Consider the following 24,403-nt stretch of genomic DNA (forward strand, 5'->3'; position numbering starts at 1 on the left):
TAACAAAGCCATGTGCCTTTAGAATCAGCCATAAGGCATGGAGTTTATTAAATATAACTAGATGCTTATTCATTCTTTAACCCTGCAGTAAAACCTTGGGGAAATAGGCAGGTGTGATCAAAACACTAAGTAGGATTCTATCTTTTTTTACAATCTGCAAAGGTAGTTTCTTAGTGCTGTAAGTGCTTTCAAGTTTTTGTGATGATGAGATGTCTGCAGACTACATCAAACTAAGGAAGTCGTTTTTTAGATCCATAGGGTAACACAAGAACTTGATGCTTCTAGGATGCGATTCTGAGGCTTACTCAGGACACTGGCCATAAGCAATTTCTGGTTCTCATCCTTTAATCTCTTTGACTTCCCATATTTTACTTGCAAGTATTCCCAGTTTCATTTACTTTCCAAGTATCATTTGTACTTCAAAGATGCTTACAGCTTCATTTAATCTGTGAATATAAAAAAAAAAGTAAACTGAACGAAGAAGTGTACTCCATGGGCTAATATAGATACTTGAAAATCAGTTGAAAATACTCTTCACTGCAATGACTTTCCTTGAGAAATGAGAAAATGAATATGAAAATGTGTAACCAGGAGAGATATTTTGAAAAGTGTATTCACAAAACAAGTAAGAAATGAATTAATAATATATTTAAATTGACATCAACAATTTTATTTTTAAAATAATCATAAAAGGTGGCATTCAGGAAGTGTTTGTCTTTGTAATTTTTCATGGAAAGAGAATCTGCTGACTAAAGCTTCTGTACGATTAATCTGCCAGTCCTAAGTGGAATACAAAATTTGTGATGTACAGAAAGTGTCAGACTCAACTAATTATACTTTTTGCCTTATGAATAAACTATTACTATTGATTTTCTGATATTCTGGCTTTTTTTTCAATGTTTTTAAGAGCTATAACCACTGCAGTATCGCTTATCCTCTGAAAAACACAACCTCACTCAAAGGGAAATTTTTAGTGGTTGTAATTTTCCTACAGTTGGGTTTATGATCGGAAGAAGACATCCCAGGGCTTATCCAATCTTCTTTCCAGCATTCCCTCCCCTCTTGACTCCTATATAAGTAGAAGAGTTAGTAAATGACTTTGCTCCTTGGTTGGAGAGAGATACTCCCGATATTCACGTTTGTGTATGTAAAGGCTACAATGATAGTTCACTGAAGCACTATAAAAGTAACACACAATATGGAACAGAAAAGACTGCTAAAAAGGTAATCTGGAAAATTAAGCAGTTTGCAATTGTAAATTAACAATTATATCACTGTACTGCTCAAGAAATGATGCAGAAGAATCATATAGAATACAACTGAGAAATGGTATATATTTCCAAAGGAAAATGGCTAGGATTTTGTAGCAATTTACTCTTTGCTTTTATTTATAAATGCATTAACTCTTCAAGTTGCTAATCCTGAGGCAGAATTCAGTCTTCACTCCCAGCCTATTTCTCCTCTATTCTTACATTCATAATTATTAACACTATAATCCAGATACTGAAGTTGGAAACTATGTAATCATCCTGGAGATCTGACTTTCCCTCTCCTACTGTGCATGATCAAGCAGCTCTCAACCTTCTCTCCCTCTCCCACACTGCAGACATACCTAATAGACAGTATGCTAGCACTGCCATGGACAGATTTGATTTTTCAGAGCTGTAAAATAGAAAAAAAAATTGGGTTTACGTTTTGTACAAGCTACAATTTTTACTTGCTTCTTGTCCAGTTTCTCTCTAAAATTCATCACACACACACACACACACACACAAACACACATGAAAACTACTGATCTAAGCATAGTGTTGTCATTTATACCTTCTTATTCCACTTTCCCCCTCCACTTACTCCTCACTATTGCCTTATCTTAGGCATCCGTCATCCCTCTCCAGAGTATAACAACTGGTACCAGAATAGCTCCTCTACCTATTGCCATTCCTCTCTCCAATCCCTTTTTTCTTTATTAATCTTCCTGAAATTCAAATCCAATCAAGTCAGGCCTTTGTTTCAAGCTTTTATTCACTCCCTGGTGACTTTGTCACTAGCTCCCTATGACTCCACAGCCTTCATTTAGGTGTTTAAAAAATAAAAAGTAAAATAAAATATTTTCCTGAGACAACAATCCATTATGCTACCTCAATTATCCTGTGAAAATGGATGTATATTCTACCAATAAATATATGAATTGCCCAAGGAACCCATCCAATTGTGTATAGTGTGTATTATTCTATAGATTATTCTATAAATATCTATAGTATTTATAGATACTATAAAAGAAGTATTCTTAGGGAAATAATATGATACTGTAAAGAGAGGAATCATTAGAAATAAGTCACAAATATGAAATGGTATTTGGACTTTGAGCAATAGAACATGGAAAAACACTGTGCAGAATGAAGAGTCAGCATAACTGGTGAGGTGCTTAGGTTGACATTTGATGCCTTTACACATTTTAAGTTATTATAATTATTTTTGTTGCTCTTGTAGTGCTGCAATTGACTGAAATCTTTTTGAATATAGATACTATGTTCTATTTCTCTTTGAAATGTAACATATAATGGAAAAAGCATAGTATTTGTAACCATGTAAATTTGATTTTGATTACAAGACCAGCTATTCATTAGATGTAAGAGACTTTGAAAGTTACTTAATTATCTCAGTCACCTATCTCCTTTTTAGATTACAAATAGTAACAGTCAAAGGATTTGCATGAAGAGTAAATGAAATAAATTATGTCAAGTTTCTAGCACAAAGACTACTTATAATATACATCAATAAATGGCTGTGTGTGTGTGTGCGTGCATGTGTGTGTCTCTAAGTGTGTGTTTAGTAGGTATTTGGCAAACAATTATCTAGATGGATTTTTCTTACTAACATTCTGTTTCTAACTATAGTCTTTACCACTCAGCACATGCTGCAAGGATCCAGCAATGGAAGGAAAGATTCTGTGTGATTTTGAAAAGTCACAAAAAGGATTAAAAAAAAGTTGAAAAGAATCAGGATAATTAAGCATAGCAGCCTGTATAGAAAAATGGAAAAGTTCAAGGTGAAGCCTGTCAAAGTATTACTAACTAAATAGGTGTTCTCTCACACTTTCTGGATCTTAAGAGTAAATCTCATCCGAGTCCTTTCTCTCCAATTCAACTCAATAGTGGAGGTTTAAACTTAATTCCTGCCTTAGCCTATAATATATGTTTTATCTTAATCTCTTATCTTTGAGAACACTTGATAATATTTTTACAGTAAGTACTTTAGTCAAACGAGAGAAATTGGTCTCACAAACTTACTTTCAAAAGCAATCATACATTTTAAAATATTTTATTTAAAAATTAGCATATGCACAATATATGATTTTAAACCCAAATTACACACGTATACCATATCATAAAGAAAGACAAATTTATAGTAACAAATACTTCAGGAAAAATACTGTTAATAGAATAGCATTGATAGAATAAAATAATTCAAACTTGAAAGACGAGTTCTGAGGAAAAATGTCCAAAACTATTTTACCAAAACACATCACCATTATAAACCAAAAATGGAGGCAAAAAGGAAGGAAGGAAGGAAGGAAGGAGGGAGGGAGGGAGGGAGGGACAGAGGGAGGGAGGGAAGGAAGGAAAGAAGGAAGGAAGGAGGGAGGAAGGGAGGGACAGAGGGAGAGAGGGAGGGAGGGAAGGAAGGAAAGGGAAGGAGGGAAGGAAGGAAGGAAAGGGAAGGAAGGAAGGAAAGAAGGAAGGAAGGAAGGAAGGAAAGGGAAGGGAAGGAGGGAGGGATGGAAGGAGAGAAGAAGGGAGTGAAGGAAGAAAGGGAAGAAGAAAGGAAGGAGAAAAGGAAGGAAGGGAAGGAGGGAGGCAGGGAGGGAAGGAGAGACGGAGGGAGGGAAGGAAGAAAAGGAGGAAGAAAGGAAGGAAGGAAGGGAGAAAGTGAAGGAAGGAGGGAAGGAAGGGAGGAAGGAAGGAGAGAAAAGAACTTGTTCCCCTCTATGTGTCCATGTGATCTCATCATTTAGCTCCCACTTATAAGTGAGAACATACTGTATCTGGTTTTCTGTTCCTGTGTTACTTTGCTAAGGATAATGGCCTCCAGCTTCATCCATATTCTTGCAAAGAGCATGATCTCACTCTTTTTATGGCTGTGTAGTATTCCATGGTGTATATATACCACATTTTCTTTATCTGGTCTACCATTTAGATTGATTTCATGTCTTCGCTATTGTGAATAGCTGCAATGAAGATATGCATACATATTTCTTTGTGATAGGACAATTTATACTCTTTTGGGTATATATCCAGTAATAATTTTCTGGGTCATACTGAGGCCTATTGGAAGGTGGAGGGTGGGAGAAGGGAGAGGATCAAAGAAAATAACTAATGGGTACTAGGCTTGATGCTTGGGTTATGAAATAATCTGTGCAACAAACCCCCATGACATGGGTTCACTAATATAACAAACATGAATATGTACCCCTGAGCTTAAAATAAAAGTTAAAAAATGAAGAGCTGGACAGTGTCTCACACCTGCAATCACAGGCTATTGGGAGTTCAAGACAGTTGGATTGCTTCAGTACAGGAGTTCGAGACCAGCCTGGGTAATATGGCAAAATGCCATCTCGACAAAAAATACAAAAATTAGTCAGGCATGGTGGTAGGCGCCTGTAGTTCCAGCTACCTGGAAGGCTGAGGTATGAGGTGATCACCTGATCCCCGAAGGTCGAGGCTGCAGTGATCACTCCACTGTACTCCCACCTGAGCAAGAGTGATATCCTGTCTCAAAGAAAAAGAAAGAGATCAAGGAAAAGAAAGAAAGAGAGAGAGAGAGAAGGGAGAAAGAAAGGAAAGAAAGGAAAGGGAAGGGAGGAAGGAAGGAAGGAAGGAAGGAAGGAAGGAAGACAAAAAGAGGAAAAGAAAGGAAAAAGAAAAAAAGAAAGAGAAAGAAAGAAAGAAAAGAAAAAGATAAGAAAAGAAAACAATTTAATGGTGGAATTTAACCAAACATAAGTGTAAAGAAGTTCCTATAACAGAACTGGGACAAGTTTTAAAGTCAAAAACTGGTTGAACAATATGTACAACTCTCTGGATAAAAACACATCAAGGAGATCGAGGATCTTTCAAAAATTATTTAGGGATAAAATGTCAACACTAGATAAAGAATGTGAATTTGGCCAGGTGCAGTGGCTCATAGCTGTAATCCCAGCACTTTGGGAGGCCAAGGCGGGAGATCACTTGAGGTCATGAGTTCACAACTAGCCTGGCCAACATGGTGAAACCCCGTCTCTACTAAAAATACAAAACTTAGCCAGGCATGGTGGTGCCTGCCTGTAATCCCAGCTTCATGGGAGGCTGAGGCACAAGAATCGCTTGAACCCAGGAGATGGAGGTTGAAGTGAGTCAAGATTGTGCCGCTGCACTCCAGCCTGGGCAATAGAGTGAGAATCCGTTTCAAAAAATAAAAATAGAAAAAGAATGTGAATTTAAAACCTCAGCAATGGTGAGGTAATTGTTAGAAACTGGTGGTATAATGTACTTCTGGGAACATCTAAATCAAGCCAATGGGGTTTAGATTAGCAAAGATTAGCGAAGTCCTATCAGAGATGAGTCAAGTTTGCTCATTAGAAAAGTTCTGCATTGTACTGGAATGGCCCAGCCGTATTAACCCTACTATCCTAGTCATGGACTGGGAAGCAACACAGAAATATCCTGGTTTTGGTGTGGACACTGATGTATATCTCAAAAGTATTCAGGATGCATGATGCCTGTAACTATATTCCTTGCAGTGGATCTAAGCAGTGCACTCCCAAAGCCACCACAGTCATGAAAGAAAAGAATTATTTGTACTAATTCTAAGTGCAAACTTGAGCAAATGGCTGCAAGAATAATTGGAAAATCTTGATGGGATCTGACAAGCATGTGAGACCTTCAAGAATCTTAGAAATATTACAATACCCCCTGTATCTGCCAGGGTTGTCCCAGAGAAACAGAATCATATATATAAAGAAAAATCCAATCAATAATGCAGGCTGTCAGCAAGTGCAGGCTGGAACTTTCAGCCCTGAACTGAAGCTGCAGTCTCCACATGGAATTTCTTCTTCAGGGAAACCTTATTCTGTTCTTAAAACCTTTCCACCAATTGAATCAGTTTCACTCAAATTATCTAGCATAATCTCATTTGCTTAAAGTGAACTGATCATAGATGTTCATCACGTCCACAAAATATCCTTAAAGCAATAGCTGAATTCAAGTTTGATTGGATTATTGGGAGTTACAGCCTAGGCAAGTTGACATATTATAATAGCATTAACACCATCTCCCAAAGAAGAGGAATCTAGCCCAAAGACATAATCACAGGGACACAGTAAGGTAACTGAAAACAACAGAAATACCAGATGAGGCACAGTTGGTTGGGAGAAATAGATCCCAGCAGGGTCTGCAAGCATCAAATATAACATCTATGGATTAAATCACCATGTTGTGCTGGAGTATAGGGCTGTAGGTAGAAAATATTCCTGACCCAGAAGAGCATTGAGACACAAATAATTGGCCACAAATGTGAAGGTAGAAGATACCTTGAGGCATGGAACTTGGAAAGTTACTCTAGAAATTCCCATCTTAATAGCACATAAACATATGTTAAACATAGAATCCTAAAAAGTACAGCATTTAAATCTTTAAAATTATTTTTTAAAAGCTGAAGAACTAAACATACTATTTTTTTTTTTTCTGAGATAGAGTCTTGCTCTCTGTATTCCAGGCTGGAATACAGGGGCTCCATCTCGGCTCACTGCAACCTCCACCTCCAGGGTTCAAGCGATTCTCCTGCCTCAGCCTCTGGAGTAGCTGGGACTACAGGCATGTGCCAACATGCCTAGCTAATTTTTGTATTTTTAGTAGAGACAGGGTTTCACCATGTGGGCAAGGATGGTCTCCATCTCTTGACCTCGTGATCCACCCGCCTTGGACTCCCAAAGTTCTGGAATTACAGGCATAAGCCACCGCACCCGGCCCATACTGATATTCTTCATGGCAAAAAAGAATAAACCATAAAACATGTTCACAAAACAAACTAAAAATAAAATCTAGAATTTTAAAATAGTATTAAAAATTGTTTTAAAAGGATAAAACCTTTCAAAGAAAGTTTAATCAAAATTTTGTAATATAAAAATCAAACAAATATGAAAATAAGACATGAAAGGTCAACAAAGCAAAAAACAAAAAATAAGGATATTTATATAGTTTTAAAATCTTTAAAATTTTATGACTAGGCAATAGGAGGATACAGAATAAAAACTAACAGATTTCAGCAATGAATTACAAAAATGAAAATTATTTCAGTAGTAAAGACCGAACTAAAAGAAATTATGAAACATTTAGGGATGAAAAAGTTTCTAAAATGAAAAACACACTGGAAGAGTTTAACATCATATTAGACACTCAAGAAGAAGAAAAACACATAGCAAATTTTAAGTCATAGTTTTTGAAACATTCCAAATGAAGTACACAGATGGGAAGTGACTCAGTGAGTTTGGGGAAATTATCAAGCAGCCCCAGAAAAACAGAAGAGAACACAGGGAACTAGAAACAATGTATTTCTAAATTTAGTAACTGCAACTCTTGATATAAGAAGTTCAGTGAAACCAAAGCCAAAGTAAGATTACAAAATTACATTCAGAGGTATCATAATAAAATGGTTAAAAGGGATTGATAGGCTGGGTCGGGTGGCTCATGCCTATAATCCCAGTACTTTGGGAGGCCGAGGAGGGCGGACCACCAGAGGTCAGGAGTTCGATACCAGCCTGGCCAACATGGCGAAACCCGTCTCTACTAAAAATACAAAATTAGCTGGGCGTGGTGACACATGCCTGTATTCCCAGCTACTAGGGAGGCTGAGGAAAGAGAAGCCCTTGAACTCGGGAGTCGCAGTTTACAGTGAGCCAAGATTGTACCACTGCACTCCAGCCTGGACGACAAGAGCGAGAGACTCCGTCTCAAAAAAAAAAAAAAAAAAAAGAGCAGGGGAGCAGGGGGATTGATAATGAGAAAATTTTGAAACATCTCTTGAAAGGAAGACATATTTTGTACCAAGAAACTAAGATAGAAATTATAGCAAATTTCTCATCTGAAATTATGCAAGCCACAAAACAATGGAATAATTGTTTTTAATTATCTTAAAGATTTAAATTTAAATTAAAATTTAATTTAAAGATTTAAATTAAAATTATCTGAAAGATAATCTTTAAGGTAATTTTAATAATCTTAAAATACTGCAAGGAAATACATGTCAGCCTGAATTTTTAGCTAATAAAGATATTCCAAAAATGAGGAACATAAAGATTGCTCAGAAAAAAATATAAACAGAAAATGTATTGCCAGCAGAGCATTACTACAGGAAATGTGGTAAAGTTAGTTCTTCAGGAATAATAAAAATTGTACCATATGGAAATGTCTATCTATACAGATGAGTGAAAAGTGACAGAACTGGTAAATATATGGCAAATGTAAAATGTCTTTTTAACATTTGTAACATCTTTTGAAGTAAACTGATGGCTTAAAGCAAAAATACTAACAATATATTGTGAGTTCTAGGTATTATGAAATGAAATATATCGCTACAATTGAATAAAGAACATGAGTAGTAAAACGAAAGTGCACTTTTGTAAGGATTTTACAATATTATGAGTGCAAGATATCATTTCAAGAGGAATTGTGATGAGTAAATACATATATTATTAATTTTAGGGCAATTACTAAAAACTAAAACCAAGAGTTATTGCTACAGCTTATAGTTATAGCTATAATCCTATTATGAAGATAAAGTAGAAGCATAAAAAAAGCTTCATTCAATAGATGGCAAAGAAGGAAGAAAAAAGAACTAAATACAAATCAAACATAAAGAAACAAATAGCAAGATGGTAGGTTTAACATCATCAACCTCAATAATTTCATAAAATCTACATGGTCTAAACCTGAGATTGGAAAATGTTTTTGTAGAGGACCAGGTTGTAAATATTTTAGGCTTTAAGGGCCACCTATAGTCTCTGTAAATATTCTTTGTTTACTTATTTATGTGGCTTTTACAATTCTTTAAAAACATAAAATCAATTCTTAGCTCAAGGGTCATGGAAAAATAAGTCTTGGCTCAAATTTGGCTTGCAAGTCATACTTTTTCAACTCCCAGTCTAAAATCAATGTGCCACATTTCTACTTTAAATAATTAAAAAAAAGTAAAAAGGAAGTTAAGTGCAAAGTAAGGAGAAGGAAAACAAAAATAAAGATACAAACAGATATCAAAAAATTTAAAAAGTAAGTTCAGGAAGTAAGTAAAACCAAAAACTCATTCTTTTAAATTATCAATAATATGGATAAAGCTCATATTTACTTGTATATTTATGTCAGTAAATTTTAGTAGTTTTTTTACTTTCTTTCAAAGCTTCAATTGAAATAATACTTACAAGATTTAATATTTGAGTAAAATAATATTTATTAAAATGCCATGAGAATACCTGGAGCCTAGTAGGTGCTTAATAAATTCTAGTCTTTGTCCCTTGATAATGCTTCTACTAACAAGTTGCTTTTTTTTGTAATCATGATGATCACCTTCCTCTATTGACTATGTCACCTAATTGTCAATATATTCTCTGTTGTGACTAGAGAAATGGAGAAATAACTTGAACCAGTTATGTTGTCTGGTAAATATTAGAAGAGACAAGTTAAGTTATGGTTCAAAAGAAGTCAACTTTCCTGTTCATTGTTTATCTCAGTTTACACTCCACTGCCTTTCTTAAAATAAACAAACAAAGAAAAATTCCCTGTTCAAGAACTTCATGGGATAACAATATTTTACCAATTTCTTGTAAGTAGAAATATTATCATTTTCAAATAAGGTAACATAGAAAGCTTCTACCATGATCAAACAACTAGAATTATTACACAATAATACAAATGAGTGAATTTTATTCACCTCATGGCCTTCCTTACGGAAAAGTTGCTTGGATGTAAAAAAGATCATTTCAGATATTTAAAACATACAAAAATTTGTGTCCCCTCCAAATTCAGGTGTTGAAGCCCTTGACCCCCAGTGTGACTATCTTTGGAGATAGAGTTCAAAAACGTAATAAAGTTAAATGAGGTCATTAGGGTGGAGACCTAATCCAAGAGGATTGGTGTTCTTTAACAAAAGGAAGAGACACCAGGGGTGCTCACACACAGAGGAACAGACACAGAGGGAAGGTGGCCACCCACAAGCCAAGGAGAGAGGCCTTGTCAGATGTCAACCCTGCCAGCCACTCAATCTTGGACTTCCAGCCTCCAGAACTGAGACAAAATAAATTTCTGTTGTTTAACTCACCCAGTCTGTGACATTCTGTTATGGGACCCCTAGCAGACTTACACACCTATCATAGTTTTTCATCTATGCATGTGAAACAACATTAACCATATAGGCAAAAACAAAATAGAAGACAGAAGTAAGTCAAAATATATAAATAATTCCAATAAACACATATGAATTAAGATATTCTATAAAAATTAGAGGATTCAAACTGGATTAGATAAAAATCCAGCTGTATGTTGTTTTAAAAGGCACACGTAAAGTGAAACTTTTGAAGGCATGAGAAATATGTGTCATGGAACTACAACCAGAAGAAATATGGGAGCAACGTTAACATTAGACAGTTTACATTTTAAGATGTAAATAAGAGAGTAAGTAGGAAAAAATGTTTAAATACATGTCTTCAATTTGAAGTGGCCCCATGGTGTTCCTGGAACAAAGCCAGGTCCAGCTGCATTTTCTTGAGGCCCAATAACAAGAAGCACACGAACTAGGAAAGAAGGGAATTTATTACTATAACTGGATATAGCGAGAAGGCCAGAGATATTTCCACGAGACCAACTCAAAGTGTTAAAATTTTCTTAGTGCTTACATTGGTTGGGGTTACGTGCCTACGTGCAGTATAGCATTTGCCTAAGTCTATTGGTAACTAATTTTGTTTCAGTTAGAAGGTCAGAGGCAAAAAATGCTTGCTAAGTCTGATTAAAAGGGCCCCAGTACCTTCAAGACCTGTCTACTGTGGTGCCAGAATGATTATTTCTGTCTTATCCCCTTTACATTTTGGTCCGGAGAGCTGCCTTAGACTCTCCAATGGAATCTATTTGCACAGCTGCGTCTGTTACCTTGACTTGTCTCAGATTCCATTGACCTGAGATGAGTCTTGGCACTAGGAATGTAAGACTGTCTCTATTATTTTGACTTGCTGCAGGTTAGGGAGAAGCCTATGCAAGGCTCCTGCTGACCATATGTTTCATTTCTAGCTTTGATGGCTGGGCACCGATTTCCCTAGGTTTAACTATTTGCTCAATGTTAAAGCAGTGCTGTGGAAATCCACCTGTGTAACTGGAGTGCTATGCAGGCCTGTCTGTGTGACTGTCAGCAGGCCTGTCTGTGTGACAGACAGACTTGGAGAATTGGCCCGCCACAATGGCACATTGAGAAATGATGGAAAAAAGACTCACAGCCAGACAAATCCTAACAATATTCAGGGTTTCTTTGCATACCATGGAAACTTAATGAGCCAGATTAATGTTAAGCTATACTATCCGTTTAAAAGGGGAGTTGAATAAAAGCTTTCCAAAAAAAAAGCAGTCTCACAAACTTATTCTTAAAATATGTTTCAGTAAATTGAGAGATTAAACAAACAAACAAAAAAAACATGGAATCTAGGAAAGAATGGATTCATCACAAGAAAGTAAAAATAGGCTAATGTAGAAAGTAGTGTAGTTGTACAGATAGTCTAGAAACCAAATACTCGGATTAGAGGAAGAGAATGGAAAACTGCAAGAGAGCGAGATAGCTGCAGGAGAGAGAGAGAAAGAGACACATATTTTACTATCCTTAGTAATCTATAATGCAACAAAACAAAACAAAATTACCTAGAGGAAACATAGTCAAACTACTGGACATACAACTAACTGCATTTACATGGTCTTTGGAGATAATTCTACAAATTGTATCTATTGATTTTAACTTTCAGATTTACTATATAGTCAATGTACAACTAAATATAAAACATTAACCCATGATGTTAAAAATAGATAGAAGCATACAATGCAAAGAAGTTGGGTGCAGTGAGGAAAAGCAAAGGAGTATATAGGAGCTAATTATATGTCCTCAAAATACGAGGAATCAAGAGATGCTCTCCACAGGTGATGGTGCAACACACTTTTAAACTAACTGTACTATTGAAAGTTAGAGAAGTAGCCAATAGAAGAATTAGAATAACAATGTGATGTCTTGGCAAAAAAGAGGTGAGAGTGTTGACATATACTTAACACAACTCTACCATAATAAAAAGTCAGTAGATAATGTCTGAAGTTAGTAAAAAATCAAGCATTTTTTAACAATATGTTAGTGGAAAAGATAAGAATGTATAAGAGAATTAAAAGTGCTTAGAATAGTGGGGTTGGGGTAAGAGGGGAACTGAAATTATTTATTATAAGCTTTCTGTGATCCTCTGATAAAACTGAAAACAAAATCATTCAAAAAAATCTATCTGTACCAACAATCTCTTTACAATGTAAGATGAACATTTATGATTCTTCTTTAAACATACCTTTCTTAAATTACTGGAGCCATAAAATGTATTTTTCTGCAACTGAGTTGACAGAAAGAGACAGGCAATAAAAAGTTTCTGGGAGGTACCAAGGGAAGCGCTTTATAGATTCAGGCTTGGTTCTATAAAATAGCAGAAAAGGCAGCCACGACCAGTGGCTACATTCAGTGAATGGTGGTGGGGGAGGGGGTGATGAATCAGCCCAAACGCTCCAGCAGAGAATGAAAAAGTCAGCTACTCTGGAAGTAAAGAAATAAAGGTAATTTCAAAGGTCTGAATAGTTTGTGTTCAAGCTGTGAGACTATGAACCTGGAAATTAATATTGACTCACAAATTTCATTCTAATATTGTATGAATATGCCATTAAAACCACTAAGGAGAGGAGTTAATGGAGATTTAAAAAAAAGTATAGGACATCACCCCAAAAATGAGATCCAGGGAGAACCTCTGATGGCTTGGATGAAAGGAACTAACATTAACAGGAGTACATATGTGGACATCTCTTGGATGACTGCTGCATCTGGAATAGTGAAAGCGTTCAGACATTAAATATGTGCCGTCAAGGGTTTTTTAAACATAATTTCATTATTTATGAAACATGATTCTCTTTTACATTCCTAATGATAAAGATGATTGTAAATTGAATTTGGTAGGATTTAATTCCACTATGCTATATTTATCAGAGTAATGCTTTCATACAGGCTACATACATAATGTTATCAGCTTTGACCTAAACTAGAGCTGCATTCAGTGAGTATGGTGACTTTGTCAAATAGTTAGTGTTTTGCCTTTGAGAAGGGAGTGTGATCGTTTTCAGAGTATGTAATAGGAGACAGTAAATTACAGGAGTATTCTGCAATACTGTGACCTTTTCAGTATTCAGTAGTTTGAATAGCTGGTCTTTCTGTCCTACTTGATTAAAGCTCCACCAATCATCAAGAAAGTTAATGCAAGATAAAACATTTCTTTTAAATGGCACAGCATTAATCCTTTCATATGGCAGAAGTTGAAATGGGAACTGTTAGACATTTCTAACAAATTTCAATGTCTCAGCTGTGTTGCAAATCTTTAGACAGCAGCCATTGACTTTGGATGATGAAATTGTGACCTGGTAAATCCTTGATCCAGCTCTTTTTAGAGTTATGGTATATTACAAGTGTGCCTGCCAGGCATAGTGAGTAGACATGACCTTGGGAAATAACACGGATGTCTTCCTCTCCCATAAAGTATCACATACAAAGTGTATCTCCTGAGAATCCTATTTATAAATAGGTCCAGTGACATCAATTTTAGAATACCTTTTAGTAATCCTTTGCAAATCATAAACCTCAAAAAGAGAGAGTTCTTATTTACACTCAGTTAAGTAATTTATAACTGACATTAATCTGTGCTGAGCTGATAGCTATGTTTTGCTAATTACTAAACAAATATTTATTTATTGAGGAAAAGCTAATGAATAACAAAAATCTAACACTTTAAATGTAGGTTTTTCTATATGGTCAGCTATTTTAAGATCATAGAAATTGTTCTACTGACCAGTTTAATCCAAAGTATTCAGAGTTAATTTTTAAAATTCCACATATAAGAGAGACCATGCTATATTTTCTTTCCGTGTCTTGCTTATTGCACTTGTCTTAATGTCCTGCAGATACATCCACGTTGTCGTAAATGGCAGGGTCTCCATACTAGAAACAAACAGCAGAAAGGTGGTTACCAAAGGCAATGAATAGGTGGATGGGAGAGATTGGGAATGGGAAGAGTGAGGTTGGAGGGCAAAAGGTTGCATACACATAGAATGAATAAGTCTAGAGACATAACGTACAGCTTGAGAAAAAATAGTTAATAGTACTTTATACTTGAAATTTGTGAAGAGATTATATTTTAGGTGCTCTTATTATAAAAAAAGGTAATTGAAATAATGGATATGTTAATCAGCTGAACTATAGTAATCATTTCATTATGTATATTTACATTAAAAGATTATGTTGTACGCTTAATTACATACAATAAAATACATTTTAAAAATACTTCGGTTAAAGTAAGTTAATCTATACTTAAAATATCAGGACTTTCAGTATGTTGTAAATACATATGCTCTACTTATTTCAGAGTATAGTAAGTGTTTTAGTTTAATCATCAATACAATATGTAAGATTTGGAGTTGTATTACAGGAAATAGCTATTATTTGTATTATTCATAGCAAGCCTTTCACTGCATGACTTAGTGTCGGCACTCAACAAATGCATGTACAATGAGTGAGGAATGATGTATGATAATACAGGATAATTACATATATTAAAATTATTTCATTGTTGCCGGGCACGGTGGCTCACGGCTGTAATCCCAGCACTTTTGGAGGCTGAAGAGGGCGGATCATGAGGTCAGGAGATCCACACCATACTGACTAACACGGTAAAACCCCGTCTCTACTAAAAAATACAAAACAAACAAACAAACAAAATTAGCCGGGTGTGGTGGCGGGTGCCTGTAGTCCCAGCTACTCGGGAGGCTGAGGCAGGAGAATGGCGTGAACCCAGGAGGCAGAGCTTGCAGTGAGCTGAGATTGCGCTACCGCACTCCAGCCTGGGGACACAGCAAGACTCTGTCTCAACAACAAAAAAAAATGTGTTTCATTGTTTTCATGACACTACAAAGGTAGCATGAAATTTCTTTTAGCTGTGTTATAGATTTGGAAAATAGAATGACCAATATTTATAGTTAAGAAAGTATTATGTGAAAGAATGTATACATATAAACAATTGCTGATAGGAGAGTGAGTTAGTTGGCAGTACATTAACTAACTGTGGTTTGACTGAATGACCAGTGTTTGAAATGAATTTACACTAAACAAGGCCTCTCAATTAAAATTGGATTTGTTTTTATTATTTTAAAAAAGGAATAAATTTTTAGTCATTTTTAAAGGTTAAAAGTCATTACATTTCATGAGATTTAACTGTTTCAAACTAGAACTATGTTTTATCATTAAGCCTCTTAAAGCATTATTTAAACTACACATTGCTTAGTTTATTTTAAACTTTTATTCTGCACTATAAAAATTCTGGGAGAAAACCTAGAAAAATGCTCTTCTGGACATTGGCTTAGGATGATAATTCACAACTAAGACCTCAAAAGCAAATGCAACAAAAACAAAAATAGACAAGTGGAATTTAATTAAACAAAAAAGCCTCTGCACAGTGAAAGATAAAAATCAATCAAATGAACAGACAACCTGCAGAATCAGAGAATATAGTTGTGAACCATGCATCTGACAAAGGAATAATATCCAGACTCTACAATGAACTCAACCAACTCAAACACTACAAAAAATCACTAAAAAGTGGGCAAAATACATTAACAGATGTTTTTCAAATGGCCAAAAAGCACATAAAAAATACTCTACATCACTAATCATCAGAGAAATGCAAATTAACACACAATGAGATACCATCTTACACCAGTCAGAATGGATATTTTCAAAAAGTCAGAAAATAACAGATGTTGGTGAGGTTACAGAGAAAAGGGAATGCTTACATAAAGTTGGAGGGAATGTATGTTACTACAACTCCTATGGAAAATAGAATGGAGATTTCTCAAAGTATTAAAAATACAACTACCATTTGGGATTCGACCCAGCAATCCCACTGCTATTTATCTACCCAAAAGAAAAGAAGTAATATAAAAGAGACATCTGCCCTTACATGTTTATCACAACACTATTCCCAATAGCAAAGATAGCGAATCAACTTGAGTGTTCATGAATGGATGATTCCGTAAAGAAAATGTGGCATACATATGGACACATGCACACATAAACACACACACACACACACACACACACACACATATATATATATATATATATATATATATATACAGAGAGAGAGAGAGAGACCATGAACACTACTCAGCCATAAAAAAAGAAAATCATGTCTTTTGCAGCAACATGGATGGAACTGGAGGCCATCATCCTAAGTAAAATAACCCAGAAACAGAAGGTCAGTTATTCTCATTATAAGCAGGAGCTAAATAGTGTGTACACATGGATATAATGGAATAATAGACATTGGAGACTCAAAAAAGTGGGAGGATGGGAGGAGATCGAGACAGGAGAAATTATCTAATGGATACAATGTACACTATTCGGGTAATGGTTACACTGATAGCCCAGACTAAGCCACTATGTAATGTATACACCTAACAAAACTGCACTTGTACTCCCTAAATCTATAAAAATAAAAATAAAACTTTCTGTTTACATTTTCCCAACTTAGAGTTAATACTAGCTAATAGATTTTTTCTGACTTCTGTTGATTCTGAAATGAGAAATCTTAATCGAATCCAAGTAAAATAAGTCTTAGAATAGCTGGAAAACTAAGCACATGTGTATCTGATTTTGTTCTCTATGTCTATTTAAGGTAACATAATTTTTTATGTTTTATAAAATTTCTTTGCATCTGAGGTGCAAATAAGTGTTTATTTAATGAACGAATATTTTAATATATACAATGCATAGTATACTTCATTATCCATTTTTCATTCAAAAAATATTTATGAGGTGTCTAGTATTTGGCAGAGTCTAGAATTTGTCACAGTTGAAAGTGATGCTACAGACACTTTGTTAAAAAGAGGAGTGACCTGTTACTTTACATTCTGATTGGTATAAAGGAATATGAGCAAATGTACAATTAATAAATGAGTTAATTTCAGATACTGAAAAATATATAAAGGAAGCAAATGTGGATAATATACAAGAAAATAATTGGGGCTTGTACTCTTTCTGAAGTTTTCTCACTTAGCAGATTAAAAATAACTTTACTATTGTTCTATATATAAGAAAAATGTGATAATAACTATAAGAAACAATAAATCAGTAAGAGTTCATCAAAATTGATTTGGAATTTGCTGATACTGGCACGTCATCAATGATTAGTCTTATAATTTGGTGGCACTTTTTTACTATAGCTTTATACTTAATAATGATTCACTTTGCATTATAAATATAATTGAAAATAACCTAGTACCTTCTCTGTACAAACGCAGGTTAGTAATTTTTAACGGATCCAAGTGACAATATTGGTTCAATAATCAAGTGTCAGCTTTTTTGTGTTTTTCTTCTCTGCTTATACAAAAATAGAGGTGATGCTCCCATTTTAAATAATTGAAGTATGGATTAAAATACTAGCACTCTGACATCCTTTAGATATTCATAATATAGAACTAGCCAATTGTTTATGCCATCTGAGAAATGGCTGAAAATATTAAATTCTAAATAAGATTTCATAATTTTGGTAGAATTTATACATTTTAAAAAATAGTTATATTATAAGAAAAATTCAAATTTCCCAAACAGATTTTTCATTAAGTTTCATATAGGGGAAATGGTTATGTAAAGTATTAGACAAGCTGGTATGCTTTCACACTTGGATCAATCAAAACGAAATTAAGGGGAAATTGGGCTTAATTGCTAAAGTATTGGTGCATAATTTACACGGGGAAAGAAATCACTTCTGTTCCACTGTTGCCCAATCACCTTCACTATGGGGATCAACACAGAGGAGATCAACTATAAACCAGAGATGGGCTATATTGTAAACATGGAAATAACCTAATCCATATCTTGGAATCAGCCTCTTATTTCTTGTTTAACCCTCATCCTCTCGTGGAATTCAAACTTATCTTGGGTGATTCTCCTTAGGTGAACATTTATGAGAACTGAGAAAATTTAAAAGGAAATATTCCATAGCTAATGGCAGTAGAGGGAGGAAAAATGGAAAGAGAATGAGGAGAAAGTAGATCTGTGTTATTCTCAAGATCACTTTAGGAACTTAATTAATTCATTGCTACATTACTTTTTTATGTTGCTGATGAAGATTTTCTCTGACAATATAGGGATTTCCCTAGTTGGAGACTGAGCCCACGTTGCTATTATTGTTTTATAGGTTAGGAAACTATCATTTAAAAGTGAAAAGGAATTTCTGTTAACTAAGTATTAAAACTTGAATTTATTTTTGTGCCATTTCCCTTTAGACAGTGAAAAATAAATCACTCCACAGAAACTTGTGAGTTAGGCAAGCCTGAATACAGGGAAGCAACTAAAAATAATAACTTACGGATCACACATTTAAGTGTTATATTTACCAGGGTAAATTTACTGTTTATTGTAGCAAATTTATATCCCTGCATAGGCTTCACTTAGATTAATGTTTTGTTTTGTTTCTTCTAAAGAAAAATTTAAAGTGTCCTATGTCTTTAAGTCATGGCTTATTCTTGCAGAGTTTGGGATGCTCTTGTTCAGCAGTAGCTCCTGAGGGATCTGGAATATAGACCCTTAAAACAACAAGGGTTCCAACCAATATACTGTTCACCTCTTATCATAGGAGAATTGATGAAAACAACTCTCCTATGTTGTTGGCAAAGTACAACCTGGCTCGGAATGATGATGTGCTAAACTCGGAGGACACTGGTGCTATTATTTCTGACTAAATTTATTTAGATCTTAGAAAAATGCACTGATGTTGAACTATCTTTCTCTGATACCTTCTGTAAAGCCATAGCCATGCTGCTATGCACAGCCATGCAATTTGCACACTGTGACAAAAGCAGCCTGCCTGGGGACAGATAGAGACTGGAATTCAGCCTGGCACAGGAGTGGTTCCCACTAGAGGAAGGAAGAAAGGAACATCTTTGTCTTTTTTGCACAGAAGTGGAATCTACTCATTGAGCTGTAAACTCTGTAGATGTGATCCTCTGAGATGCATCGTTTTCTATCTGCCTGCAGGAGATACCTTTCCAAATTCAAACATGGGCTCTGAATATGCTTCCAGAAGCCTTGAGAGCAGCCTTGTAGATGAGAGTTGAGATTTTCCCACAATGATTAGATTTGCCCATTGCAAATTATCCAGGAAATTATTCAGGAAATAAAGACTTAAGGACTAGGATTCAACTAGTCCTTGATGAAACTTCGTTTCTTTCTAAGTATTGGGAAAAAAAAAATTTGGATTCTGAAACATGGCGATATGTAGATTCCTATCAATGCCATCTGCTTGTGGTACAGGAAAAAGGGAGCAGGGTTGCACATTAAGGATCATTAAAGGCAGAAATTTTGCAATAGTCATAAGCTTTGTTTTACTTTTCTTCCAGAATTCTAAACCTTTAGAAAATTCTTACCAACTATGATGACTAGAAATGACTTCCTGTGGATAATTACAGAAACTGCCTCTCTCTTGTTAAGGATATAGTTCAAAGGTCTGATCAATATTTCTTTTTCTAAGAAATAGTGGGGACATGTTTATTTATGGGAGGGGCAATATTTGCAGAGGGAGCTGGCACAAAGGTCTGGCATGGCAAGAAATTAAAAAACAAAATTGATATTTCATGTGCTCTAACACATTTTTCTTAAATGCTATGAACATACTTGAACCTGGTGATTGTCCTAGAAGCTGATTTTTAATAACAATATGGACAGCTACTCACGATAGCCATGATAAAATTTTTCATAAAATAAATTAATATTTATTAACTAAAATTAGTTTTATGTTTTTTCTCTGCTATTGAAAATATTTTCTTTCAATTTTTGAATTATGATGTGTATCAAACAATACTAATGTTTCCCATTTGAAATGCAGTTTAGAAAAGATCACCAAGAAACTCGATAATAATCCCAAAAGAGATGTCAGAAATTTTAGATAAAAAGAAATAACTAAAAAAAAAATAACTCCATTTACAGCTGATAAATTACCAATCAGAAAACATTTAGCCAATGCCTTTTATATAAATTTTATATGAAGCCTTGTAGAATGAAGTGTTCATGGACCTTATCTGAAGCCACATTAAGGAAGCATATTTCTGTTTATAAAAACAATGATCACCACATTGAGAGGAACAAAGTAAAGACAGCTGGAGGGAGAAAACGCACACATGTCAGGTACAAGGTTTAAACTCTAAAAGGGGCTGAAATTGGTTCTCTTCCTCTTGTGCAGTAAGCAAATTCCCTTTGAGTTTGATTTCCAACACTAAGAATTCTCATTAAACAACAGAAAGCTGTGGACACACTGCTAGATTGAAGAATTAGTAAATCTAAGTTATGGACTTAGTTCTCTCATGAACCATTGTGTCTTTAAATAAATCAGTTATTCATTCTGTATTGATCTTATCGTTTCACAAATAAAAATAATTATGTTTGCCTATTTCCCGTTTAGCTCTAACAATCTCCCTTTTAATGACATATTTTAATTGGCCTTGGTTTTGACATTAAATGTAGAATGCTATCTTGGAAAGAGATATTAAGAGAAATAATTTGCTACACTTACAGCATAGTTTTCCAGGCACAGAAATAAATGAAGTAGGGTTGCTTTCCACGAAGGCTGAAAATTATCTGTGACTGTCAACAACATAATACAGCTAGCTACACAACTCATTCATTCATTCATTAATTTTTAAAATAATTACTATGAGCCAAATTCATTCTAGTTATGGGAATGTAGCAATAAACAATGGAGACAGACCCACATGTAGCTTAATTTCTAGTGGGATTTATACAATGAACACATTAACAAATAAGTAAATTAGGCAATTTCAAGTCAATACATCAAAGAAAGTTAAGAAGGGTAAAGGCTTTTGATGGGGATACAATAAGGATGGAAGATACCTAATTTAGCTAGGTTAGCAGGAAAAACTGTTCTGGAAAAGAGACCTTTAATATGAAACCTGAATAATGTAAGAAATCACTGATGTGATGATGATCTTAAAAAGAATAGAAGGAGAAGGATTCCAGCAATTTAAATGAAGAAGATATTTCAGACTTGGGCTGACCGCATAGAAATCATGTAGGGATTGAATCACTTATGAGGATTATTGGTTCCCTACTCTTGAATATTCTCATTAAATAGGTCTGAAGAGGTGAGAGAATCATTTATTCTTCATTTGCACCCTCCTGCTTTTGGTGGATCTACAAAGAAGAGAACAATGACAGATACAAAATGGAACTTTCTTTCTTATCCAACTAAGGTAGATCAATTGGGCAATTAGGAGGTTCAAGATGAAAAAATAAAGTCCACTTTCCTATTCACTCTGTTAAACAAGAAATAACCAAAATCAATCATAGATAGAGCTGACCCCTTAATTCATACCAAAATAAATACTGCAGTCCTACAACATTTCACATGAACACATAAAATATTTAGAAAATTCTATCTCAGCAAATGCAGAAAACACTGTCAATCTCAGCTATCTTCCTTTACTTACAAAGATTTAGAGTGCTTTTGAGGGGCAGAGAAAAAGCTATAACTATCATTCTAGATCAAGCCACTACCATTAAAATGCCTGTCATACTTATGATAAAAACAAAGATGAACACAAACTGCTTATGTGGCTGAGAAACTATCAGTAAGCAAATTGACAGTATATTTAGATACTTGCTATTTCAAAACAAAAAAATTTCCTAGACAAAATATAAATGCTGCTTATATTTATAGAACAAAGCTCAATTTCTTAAAAATCTTTAAGAATTTGAATACTAACTGATGAAACAACATAGCAATATAAACTGCGTCAATAATCTTTTTGAGAAAGTATAATTGATTTATTTATTAAGATTGATATGAATAGTATTCCCTTTTCATATTTCCTTTCCCAATTTGCTCCTAAATCCCATCACAGATACAAACATTTGCATCCAAGTCCCATCGTATACGGAAATATAAAAGCTGCAACATTGACGGGGCCCTTGGTGGATCTAGAATGTTATCATGAACCAGCCAAAGCTCAATGATCAAAGTCAGCTGAGGCAAGGTCTTCATGGTGAAAGAAGAAAGATATCAAACATGAAACTAAAAGCTAGCTTCTACTTCTGACACTTTCAGGAACTAATTGTCAAGAAGTCCCAAGTGGATTGTACATGTTGTACCTAGTGAGTTGCATGATATCAAGCGTAGAGGAGCTGTTCTGCTAAGGAGAGTCAACTGCTGCTGATGGCAGGAATGCAAAGTACGTGGACCTTGGTATGCAGGGCATACCGTTGCAGTAAATTCAAAAGCCAAAATCTATGAGCCATTTGTCCGGGCTTCTCTGTCCTAGGACCTCAAATCTCAGACCCTTTCCATAAAAATTTTACACTTTTAAGGTCACTCTACAAATAAGCTTCAACGTAGAGAGGGAGTTAATACAAAGGAAGACATAAAATTCTGAAATAAAATCACCTGGTTTAGTGTCCTGGGTAGGACCAGCTTCAAGTGCATATAACTTTCTCAGGGACCGAAAGAGGCCCAAACCTGGAATTTAATGTTCAGCAGTGGTTGTCTTGAAATTCTTACTAATTTTATTTTTAAATTTGTTTTGGAAGCGAAGTCTGATAGGGCAATGGAGCATGCGTGCACTGGGGGCTTGTAGCCTGTTTCAACACATCCTGTCTCCCACCCCCAGTCCACCTTCCCACCTCTCCTGGATGAGTTCTCTGTCACCTGCTCTGCTACCCCCACCTACCAATTGCTGCCACCCTTTCCTTATGGTGGGAGTCTAGGCACAGGCACAGGGAGGGTTGGGGTTGAACACAGGCCTTATGCAGCATTGAAGGCAGGACTCCCTGTATCTTTCATCTTTTAAGGGCTGACATTAACTCCATGAGTATCCTCATGCCCAAAGGAACATGTCACTAAATAGCAAATTAAAACCACCATGATTGCCGAAGAGAGAGAATGTGGAAGAAGGGAGAAATCTTTTTAATTGATTTGTGAACAAGGGATCTCACATTTTCATTTTCCATAGGACCTCACAGATTATGTAGCTGGCTCTGATTTCAGATTTACTATACTTGCTGTGTCATCCTAGGAAAATCACTGAATCACTCTAACTTTGTCTCTTCATCTGTAACTATGGATTTGGTTTACTGGTATACAGTGATGCCAACTGAAAGTATCATTATCTTGATAAGAAACGAGATAGCAGGAGGGGACGTAATGAGTTGCCTTTGAGCTGATCGATTAATACTTACTTTGACTTTAAATCACCTTAAACATACAAACCTGTAGATCATCCACTGAAAACTAGAAGTATCACTGCCAAATCAGAGAAGATATGTTTCTCAAACATCAGATTAGAACTTGAAAACACTCCCCATAGACTTAATTTTATAAGTCTTAGCCAGACTGTACAATATTATTTAGTCTTATAGTTGAACTATATACAGATTAAATAAAACTGTGTGGCCTTGTTTAGAAACTTGTTACTTTTAACATTATAATGTCATTCTTATATTTTCACAGGAAAATATATATTTTGTGTTTCAAAACATACCGAAATAAACATAGTTAATCATGCATCTTTGTATGCTGCAGGTAGGCTGACAGTAATGTATTTTGAGATTTCAGTAGTGGCTGTTAGGGATGTACAAATTAAAAGTACCTACTGGCCAGGCGCGGTAGCTCACGCCTGTAATCTCAGTACTTTAAGAGGCCGAGGAGGGTGGATCACGAGGTCGGGAGTTCGAGACCAGCCTGGCCAATATGGTAAAACCCCATCTCTACTAAAAATACAAAAATTAGCTGGGCATGGTGGCATGTGCCTGTAGTCCTAGCTACTTGGGAGGCTGAGGCAGAAGAATCGTTTCAACCCGGGAGGGGGAGGTTGCAGTGAGCTGAGATTGCGACACTGCACTACAGCCTGGACAACAAAGTGAGACTCCATCAAAAAAAAAAAAAGAAAAAAAAAAACAGTACCTTCTTTCCCTCTGTAGCACTCCTCTGCTTCATATCTCTAATTAAAAATTAATATCCTAGAAGGAGAGTTAGATCTAAGATACC

At 35.2% G+C, this 24,403-nt stretch overlaps 1 long non-coding RNA gene across 2 annotated transcripts in view; it reads right to left on the reverse strand.

Annotated features, from left to right (window-relative positions):
* LOC105374438 (uncharacterized) overlaps positions 1 to 24,403 on the reverse strand; it is a 37,090-nt gene continuing 12,687 nt past the window's right edge. For both annotated transcript variants that reach the window (NR_188377.1, NR_188376.1), the window contains 3 exons: positions 14,144 to 14,292; positions 1,613 to 1,662; positions 1 to 446 (listed from right to left, as the gene is read on the reverse strand). This is a non-coding gene — a long non-coding RNA (uncharacterized LOC105374438). The remainder of the gene's footprint in view (positions 447 to 1,612; positions 1,663 to 14,143; positions 14,293 to 24,403) is intronic.

Source organism: Homo sapiens, chromosome 4, assembly GCF_000001405.40.
Source record: "Homo sapiens chromosome 4, GRCh38.p14 Primary Assembly".
Taxonomy (NCBI): Eukaryota; Metazoa; Chordata; class Mammalia; order Primates; family Hominidae; genus Homo; species Homo sapiens.